This window comes from Homo sapiens, chromosome 5 (assembly GCF_000001405.40).
Source record: "Homo sapiens chromosome 5, GRCh38.p14 Primary Assembly".
Classification (NCBI taxonomy): domain Eukaryota; kingdom Metazoa; phylum Chordata; class Mammalia; order Primates; family Hominidae; genus Homo; species Homo sapiens.
In genome coordinates, this window is record NC_000005.10 from 141,328,510 (window position 1) to 141,338,341 (window position 9,832).

Sequence of the window (9,832 nt, forward strand, 5' to 3'; positions counted from 1 at the left end):
CAGCAATCGCCCAGCACCCAACAGCAGGCAGCAGACAGCACCCAACAGCTGGCGATGGCCGTTGCCTTGATCTCCATGCTGTTTCTCCTCAGTGTGACTCTGGCCATCTCTCTGAACCTGCAATGCCCCCTATAGCTCCATTGCCTGGGGCTGTTTTCAGCTGGATCTCTGGTCCAAGCCCGGATATGGAGTTGTCTCCAACTTAAAGAAAGGAAATTTGCCCTGTTCCTACAACGTATGTGTGGTTTTAGATATTTTTAAAATCTTAATTTCTTTAACTCAAGAAACAGCTTTGAACCAGGTATTCTCTGCAGTGCCAGCAATGAAGCTTTGTTTTATTTTTGTTTTTGTAGAAACGGGGTTCACTATATTGACCAAGCTGGTCTCAAACTCCTGGCCTCAAGTAATCTGCCCACCTTGGCCTCCCAAAGTGCTGGGATTGCAGGCGTGAGCCACTGTGTGTGGGCAGCAATGAAGCTTTAAATGTTGCATTTGATTCAAATGTATTTGTGTGATATTTTAACATTTTTATTTTATACTTACCATCCTTTTATAAATCACTCCTGCGTGTTTTTGGTTGCTGAAAGTAGGGAGCTCTACAGGTTTACTTACTAGTTCTTATGTATATTTTAATTTACCTCATTAGCTCACAATTTCTTTGGGGAAAAGTTTATGCCTATTAATGTGTATTCTGAAAAGTTACATTCTCTGTTAAAGAGTTACTTCCTTGCAATATTGAAGATGATTTATTGCACCTTTAAATTTCTACTCTTTGGCTCCATGTACTTGTCTTTGAGAAGCTGAGAAACTGTAGATTTGGTTAAGAACTAAAGTTCTCTTTCCAAAAACTATTATTGAGACCTTTCATTGTTTTCTTTCTTTCCTCATTTTTAACTTTTCTCAGTCATGGTGTCCATGGGTTGGCTGGCCGAATTTGTTCCTGAAATTATCAGACTCTGGAGTACAGATAGCATGCTTCTCTAACTTTGGGGTAAAGATAAGTAAGTCACTCTAAGCCTGAGACATTTTAATTAGTAACCCTTTGCTAATAGTGCAGTGATTAAAAAAAAAAGAAGGCCACATCCTCAACTGGTTAAAAAATACTGTTAAGAGAAAACCAACTTCTCTTGGAGAAAATATTAAGTGCGATTATAGAGGAATACATATTATAAGAGCCTATCTAAAAATAAAGATGAGACCATTTTTCTTTTCAGCTGTGAAGAATAATATCATAGACTTTGTCTCTGAAATTTGAAATCTAAATTATATATTCATGTGACTTTTCAATGAAATTCCAAGAGCCCAGTTTTATTTTTTTCAAAATATATTGCCTTTGGTGAATCTTAAGAATTTTTTAAAAACCCACATAATGCAAAGACACTTCAAAAAAAAAAAAGAGGAAAAATAAGGATAGGGTTAAACCATGCTCTTCAAAATCCCAAGGTTTCTGATAAATATTCAAATCATAATGGGAAGGAAATGGGATGGTATGATTTTTTTAAAGTCTAGCTTATATTCTAAAAGATTATTTTTCCCTCTAATACTTTTCACCCTCCAGTCAAAGGGGAGCTGCTCTATGTGGCCTGGGAAATTACCAAGTGGTCAAACTTTACTACAGAAAAAGTGGAGAGATGATTTTGTCCTCATTGTAATGTTAGGTTTTTACTATAATTCCCTGAATAGCAAACTTGGAAAGCAGATAACATGGGAATACTTGGATTCTCCTGTATATTTCAATTTGGTGACATTTAGGCACATTTAAAGAAGTGAACATATAGTTTCTCTTTTTCATACATATATTGTAGAATTATTTCCTTGACAATAGACTAAAACTTAAGAAAATAACAAGTTAATGAGAAGGTTTTCAGTATTTGCTAGGAATGCAGTAACTGGTTAGGACTGTGGGCGCCGCTGTTCACTAATCTGGTAGATACAGGCAGTACACACAGGTCAGGAGGAGGAAAAAAAAAAAAAAGAAAAAGAAAAAAGCTCTCGTGCCTCTTAGAACCTCCATAACCGCCAGATTGAAAACTGACTGTCCAAGACTGCCTAAATCCTACTTCTGGATGACTCTCCAGTCAGAATTCTCCTGAAAATTGGGTTAATTTCAGCTCAGAAAAGCAGAAACGATACCCTTGGTACTGGACTGGAAGAAAACTACGAAGTGAGAGAGCCATGAAGATTCAGAAAAAGCTGACTGGCTGCAGCAGGCTGATGCTTCTGTGTCTTTCTCTGGAGCTGCTGTTGGAAGCTGGGGCTGGGAATATTCACTACTCAGTGCCGGAAGAGACAGACAAAGGTTCCTTCGTAGGCAACATCGCCAAGGACCTAGGGCTGCAACCCCAGGAGCTGGCAGATGGCGGAGTCCGCATCGTCTCCAGAGGTAGGATGCCGCTTTTCGCTCTGAATCCTAGAAGTGGCAGCTTGATCACCGCGCGCAGGATAGACCGGGAGGAGCTCTGCGCTCAGAGCATGCCGTGTCTCGTGAGTTTTAATATCCTTGTTGAGGATAAAATGAAGCTTTTTCCTGTTGAAGTAGAAATAATTGATATTAATGACAACACTCCCCAATTCCAGTTAGAGGAACTGGAGTTTAAAATGAATGAAATAACGACTCCAGGTACCAGAGTCTCATTGCCTTTTGGGCAAGACCTTGATGTGGGTATGAACTCACTCCAGAGCTACCAACTCAGCTCTAACCCTCATTTCTCCCTGGATGTGCAACAGGGAGCCGATGGGCCTCAACATCCAGAGATGGTGCTGCAGAGTCCCTTAGACAGAGAAGAAGAAGCTGTCCACCACCTCATCCTCACAGCTTCTGATGGGGGTGAACCAGTCCGTTCAGGGACCCTCAGAATTTACATTCAGGTGGTGGATGCAAATGACAATCCTCCAGCATTTACTCAGGCACAATACCATATAAATGTCCCCGAAAACGTGCCGCTGGGTACTCAGCTGCTCATGGTAAATGCCACTGACCCTGATGAGGGAGCCAATGGGGAAGTAACGTACTCCTTTCACAATGTAGACCACAGAGTGGCCCAAATATTTCGTTTAGATTCTTACACAGGAGAAATATCAAATAAAGAACCACTAGATTTCGAAGAATACAAAATGTATTCAATGGAAGTTCAAGCCCAGGATGGTGCGGGGCTCATGGCTAAAGTTAAGGTACTGATCAAAGTTTTGGATGTAAATGATAATGCCCCAGAAGTGACCATCACCTCTGTCACCACTGCAGTTCCAGAAAACTTTCCTCCTGGGACCATAATTGCTCTTATCAGTGTGCATGACCAGGACTCAGGAGACAATGGCTACACCACATGTTTCATTCCTGGAAATTTACCCTTTAAATTGGAAAAGTTAGTTGATAATTATTACCGTTTAGTGACTGAAAGAACACTGGACAGAGAACTTATCTCTGGGTACAACATCACAATAACAGCAATAGACCAAGGAACTCCAGCTCTATCTACTGAAACTCACATTTCACTACTAGTGACAGATATCAATGACAACTCCCCAGTCTTCCATCAGGACTCCTACTCTGCCTACATTCCCGAAAACAACCCCAGAGGAGCCTCCATCTTCTCTGTGAGGGCCCACGACTTGGACAGCAATGAGAATGCACAAATCACTTACTCCCTAATAGAGGACACTATCCAGGGGGCACCCCTATCTGCCTACCTCTCCATCAACTCCGACACTGGGGTCCTGTATGCGCTGCGATCCTTCGACTATGAGCAGTTCCGGGACATGCAACTGAAAGTGATGGCGCGGGACAGTGGGGATCCGCCCCTCAGCAGCAACGTGTCTCTCAGCCTATTCCTGCTGGACCAGAACGACAACGCGCCCGAGATCCTGTACCCCGCCCTCCCCACAGATGGTTCTACCGGCGTGGAGCTGGCGCCCCTCTCCGCAGAGCCCGGCTACCTGGTGACCAAGGTGGTGGCGGTGGACAGAGACTCGGGCCAGAACGCCTGGCTGTCCTACCGCCTGCTCAAGGCCAGCGAGCCGGGACTCTTCTCGGTGGGTCTGCACACGGGCGAGGTGCGCACGGCGCGAGCCCTGCTGGACAGAGACGCGCTCAAGCAGAGTCTCGTGGTGGCCGTCCAGGACCACGGCCAGCCCCCGCTCTCCGCCACTGTCACGCTCACCGTGGCCGTGGCCGACAGGATCTCCGACATCCTGGCCGACCTGGGCAGCCTCGAGCCCTCCGCCAAACCCAACGATTCGGACCTCACTCTGTACCTGGTGGTGGCGGCGGCCGCGGTCTCCTGCGTCTTCCTGGCCTTCGTCATCGTGCTGCTGGCGCACAGGCTGCGGCGCTGGCACAAGTCACGTCTGCTACAGGCTTCGGGAGGCGGCTTAGCGAGCATGCCCGGTTCGCACTTTGTGGGCGTGGACGGGGTTCGGGCTTTCCTGCAGACCTATTCCCACGAGGTCTCCCTCACTGCGGACTCGCGGAAGAGCCACCTGATTTTCCCCCAGCCCAACTATGCGGACACACTCATCAGCCAGGAGAGCTGTGAGAAAAAGGGTTTTCTATCAGCACCCCAGTCTTTACTTGAAGACAAAAAGGAACCATTTTCTCAGGTAAACTTTTGTGATGAATGTATCAGCTATCTAGAGAAAAATAATTCTTGATTTAACTTACTAGCGTTCGCTCTTTGCTACAGATAGTTCTTCTAACCCATGTATCTTTGTAGCTTTTTATTACAAGTCCTGCAAAATCACGATTGAGTCTACACGTTCATATGCAGGTATATTTATAATTGTTCTTGCACTGAAAAGGAGACTGTGATCATAATGTAGGTGGTTGGGTTGAAGGTATGTGTGAGATGCCATCTCTGTTTGGAAAGAGCACTGCATTAGAAACGGCGATCTAGCTTCTAACATTTTCTTACTTGCCTCTGGGCTAAAAGGTTTGATTAGAAAAGGCTCACCAATATTTAAATGACTAACACTATTTTCAAATTTTCTTTTTATAAGTACCTGCTAATCTACCCCTGAATTTAATGTAGATGTCATCTGTCAGGACACTGTGATAGTTTATTTGGGGACATTTGAAGAGGTGAAGATTGTCTAAAGTAGTATTTTTAGTTGTGTTCATATAAGATTATAGAGATCTATATAAACTGCAATTTTAAATTATTGTTGAATATTTTAGCCTTTTATTCTATCTTTATTATCAGATTTTTTTGGTTTTGAGATGGGGTCATGCTAGAGTGCAGTGGCATGATCATGGCTCACTGCAGCCACTACCTCCTGGGCTCAAGCGATCCTCCCACCTCAGCCTCTCAAAGTGCTGATATTACAGGTGTGAGCTGTGGTGCCTGTACTGAAGAATACGTCTATTTAAGTAATGTATGAAGTAACAAAATGAACAACACAAAATTTATCATGCAACTTGAGAAATATCTTTGAAGCCTCCTGACTTATACATTATACCTGTAATGAAATCAGCTAACAAAAATCAAGTATATATCCTATTTTAATGTGTGTTAACTTTTCAGAAGAAAAAAAAAGTATGGTCGGGGAGTAAGTCCATGCTTTGATGTATTTACTCTGCTCCAATAAAATACAGAGATACATAAAATATAAGAGGAAAGCAAAAGCAAAGTGGTGAGCTAGTCTAAAGCCATGTGAGTTATAGTCTTGGACTTAAAAGCAGAAATTGAAGGTTAGGAAACTGCCTCCAGCAATGTAATAGGGACAGAAGTGCTTCAGACTAGATAAATATCTGGACCAGGCTTACTGCCTGAATCCAAAATAAGCAATGAGGCCCTTCAGCTGGTTAAAAAGGAAAAGAAAGATGCATTAACATGCTGCCTAGCTGGGCGCAGTGGCTCACGTCTGTATTTCCAACAATTTGAGAGGCTGAGGCGGAAAGATCCTTGGAGCCCTGGAGTTCAAGACCAGCCGGACAGGGCGGCCTGCGACTGTAGTCCCAGCTACGCGGGGCGGGGAGGGGCGGGGCGGGGCGGGGCAGGAGCTGACGTGGGAGGATCCCTTGAGCCCAGGAAGTCAAGGCTTCAGCGAACCGTGATCGCGCCACTGCCCTCCAGCCTGGGCGACAGAGCCACACCCTGTTAAATAAATAAATATAATAATAAAAGCTGTTTCCCAATTCCGGTGGTTATAACTTTCTTCGTAAGCTGTGTAGACCAAGAGAGAGAGACAGACACGGATGCTGGATAGAGACAGCGAACACCAAGTATCTCATATGTGAGCTGTGGTATCCAGAATATCACTGCTGTGCATCATTAAAGCGTCATTAAGAGACCTAGTTATGGCCTGGGACCTGAGGTCAGATAGAAACTATTTCAAAACCATTACAAATGAGCACTGAACCCAGGAGGGAAGGAGAGAGGGATATAGTGTAGAAGAGAAAAAAACAAACTAAAACTAAAAACAAACAGAGCTCTTCCACTAAAAATAAATATACAAACCAAAATTTCAAAACACACTTGTCTCGTAGAATTTATTGTTACTAGTGAGAAACTTTCTGTCAACACACTGTTATTTTTTAAGGTAATCTCTGTTTTCTCTCTGGTAACTATTGAAGACTTTCTCTCATTCTTGCTGTGTGTCTGTTGCATTTTTATTTTTATTTTTTGCTTGGTACCAAGAGTATACTCTCAATTGATAACTAAGTTATCTCACTTCTGGACTTTCTCAGCTCTTATAATCATAATTTTTTTTCTGTGTATATACAAGTGAGCTACATTTACCTATTAAAGGACAAATATTACAAAACTGGTTGATTTTTAAAATCCATATTCTAATAATACACGTGCTTAAAATAAAAATACACTGAAACAGTGAAACTAAATATATATGTACACACACAAAAAAGAAAGTCATGTTAATGTAACAACAAAGTCATATTTAAGGTAACAAACACAAATTGTGATTTTAAAAAATGAACTGATTATAGTTGTAAAAAGAGCAGATGATCAAAAGGATATAAAAATATAAGCTTCTATTACTGAAAAATATAGCTTAGAAAATACCGGAATATTTAAACATAATTCCATAAGAAATAATAGACCCCACAGGAAGAAAGTTAGTTAACATAAAGAAGATTTGAACAACATAATTTAGAAGCTTGATCTATTAGGATTCTAATAGATCCGTTCTGCACACAACAAATATGGAATAGTCATCCTTGAACAAGCAGACAATCTACAAGTTTATTACCTAGTCATTACAAAAAAGGGTTCAGCAAATTGCAAAGTACCAATAATATACTTGCCTTACAACACATACTTAATCACAAAGCAAACATTTAAAAATAGAAAAGGGAAAAAGTTTGGATATTTACATCTACACCCTTAAATAACTCTTGGATTTCAAAAATCACAATGACAATGAAAACTACTCAGAAAAAAAGGACTTAAATATTCTTTATTAAAAATTGTGAGATGCAACTAAAACTAATTAGGAGTAAGTTTATAGACAAATGCAATAATTTTTTTAAAAGCAAACAAAATTATTTAAAATACATGAATTTAGCTTGCCATTCAAGAAGTAAGATAAAAAACATACAATGAGTATATACTAAAATAAAATGATGGAAAAAATAACAAAGAGTTACATTTTTGAAATGCAACCATGGAAGAGTTCTGAGGATGAAATAATGGAAGCAGACAATAAATGTAATAAAACCAGTGGGGAGAAAATGAAAATTCTGTCAAGTCTAACGTTAGGACTCATGTAAGAGAGCCAGGCACAATGGCACACCTATAATCCCAGGTACTGAGTAGGCTGAGGCAGTAGGATTGCTTGAGCCCAGGAGTTTGAATCCAGCCGGGGCAGTATAACAAGACCCAATCTCTATAAAACAAAAAAACACAAACACAAACACAAAAATAAAAATAAAAAACAAAAGCAAAATATACCATAGTAGCTCTACAAGAAAACATGGTGAGTTGGTATCAATTATTTCCAATATATTTTTCTTCAGTCTTGTAAGAGGAATGGATGAAAGTAAAAATGAGAAAATTTCAATAAGGAAGGAGCCAAAAGGCAAACAGATTAAAGTGTCACCAGAAATGGGCAATTCCACTTATGCCACATACAAAAATTAATTCAAAATGGATCAAAGAAGCAATATTCAGAAGCAATAAAACCCTTTTAGTTATTATGTTTAAGAACTAAAACTATACAACTCTTAGAAGAAAACAGGAGGAAACCTTCATAACATTGATTTTTGGCAATGATTTCTTGGATATGACACCAAAAGCACAAGCAACAAAAGAAAAAAATTGTATACTGGACTTTATCACAGTTAAAAACTATATGCAGCAAAGAACAATATCAATAGAGTGAAAAGGCAGCCCACAGAAAGAGAGAAAATGTTTCCAAATCATGTATCTGAGAATGGATATCCAGAATAAAGAACTCGAACTCAACAACAAAGAATCCCAAACAATTGGATGTTAAAATGAGCAAAGGACTTGAATAGACATTTCTCCAAAGATGATATACAAATGGCCAAAACCATATGAAACAATGTTCAACATCACTAGTCATTAGGGAAATGCAAATCAAAACCATAATGAGATACTACTCCACATTCATTAGAATTGCTGTCATAAAAGAAAAGAAAAGAAATGTTAACAAGAATATGGAGAAATTGGAATTCTTGTGCATTGCTGGTGAATATAAAATGACACAACTGCTGTGGAAAATGGTATGGTGACTCCTCAAAAATTTAAACATAGAATTACCATATAATCCAGCAATTCCACTCTGGTTATTACCCAAAAGAAGTGAAAATAGGGACTTCAACAGATATTTGTACACCTATGTTTATGGCATCATTAGTCACAATAGTTGAAAAGTGGAAGTAACCCAAGTGTCCATTGACAGATGAATGGGTAAATAAAAAGTGGTTCACACATACAATGGGCTGTTATTTAGCCTTAAAAAGGAAGGGAATTCTGTTACATGCTACAATATGGACGAACTTCAAAGACATGATATCAAGTGAAATAAACCTGTTATAAAATGACAAATACTGTATGATTCCTCATATATGAAGTTCCTAGATTAGTCAAATTCATAGAGAAAAAAGGTAGAATGGTAGTTGCCAGGGACTGGGTGAAAGGCAATGGGGAGTTGCTATTTAATAAGTACAGAGTTTCAGTTGGGGAGGATGAAAAAGTTCTGGAAGTGGATGGTGGTAATGGTCACACCAGAATGTAATTTGAATGTACTTAATGTCACAGAATTGTATGCTTGACTATGGTCAAAATGGTAAAGATGAAACAAGAGTAAGAAGACATCCACTGCATTGTATTTTACACCCTTGGAAAATGAATATCAGAAAAAGAACTTGACAACCTCAAACAATTTTGAGTGACTGATTCCTAGTGTGGTGAAAAACCCCTTCCGGCTCTAGCTTTATCAAATAGACCTGCTTTCTGTTTCTGTAATGTTCCATGCTGTCTCTTACCTTCAAGCATTTGTTCAGAGGTTCTAGAACACTTCTTCAGCCTTTTTCTTGATTCAATCCTACTTTTTATGATTCAGCTTCAATCATGCCCTCAAAAAGACTTTTCTGACCCCAAATCTAGACTGGATACCCCTCCTAGGTATTCCTCCATCACCCAGTGTTTCCTACCTCATATCACAGCAGTTACCATACTCTATTATACTCTCTTTACTTTCTTATGTCCTCCTCCAACCTTCACGCTTGAGACCAGGGCCTGTGTTTATCATGTTCACCATTTCTAGCTCCAGCTGCAATCATGCAAAGTGGGAGGCACATGTACCCAATTAAGTGTCTGATGATTCAATAATTTAAAGGCAGATTTTGAAGGTA

General features: G+C 40.2%; 1 protein-coding gene and 1 further gene across 2 annotated transcripts in view, besides 1 other annotated feature; both read left to right on the forward strand.

The window, feature by feature from the left end:
* The window catches only part of PCDHGA1 (protocadherin gamma subfamily A, 1), a 182,462-nt gene continuing 174,634 nt past the window's right edge, over positions 2,005 to 9,832 (forward strand). The window contains exon 1 of one of the 2 annotated variants that reach the window (NM_018912.3): positions 2,005 to 4,596. In NM_018912.3, coding sequence (NP_061735.1) covers positions 2,176 to 4,596 — 2,421 coding nt within the window. In that variant the 5' untranslated portion in view covers positions 2,005 to 2,175. Of the gene's footprint in view, positions 6,131 to 9,832 lie in introns of those variants that run through there. The other variant, NM_031993.2, reaches the window with a different exon arrangement.
* Positions 2,176 to 9,832, forward strand: part of PCDHG@ (protocadherin gamma cluster) — a 182,295-nt gene continuing 174,638 nt past the window's right edge.
* Positions 5,161 to 5,390: a silencer, noted in NCBI's record as "fragment chr5:140713237-140713466 (GRCh37/hg19 assembly coordinates)". NCBI's record gives its function as "represses an EF-1alpha promoter that drives an FKBP-Casp9 reporter gene in an ReSE screen in HepG2 liver carcinoma cells and K562 erythroleukemia cells {active_cell/tissue: HepG2 | K562}" and the evidence as "EXISTENCE:reporter gene assay evidence [ECO:0000049][PMID:32094911]".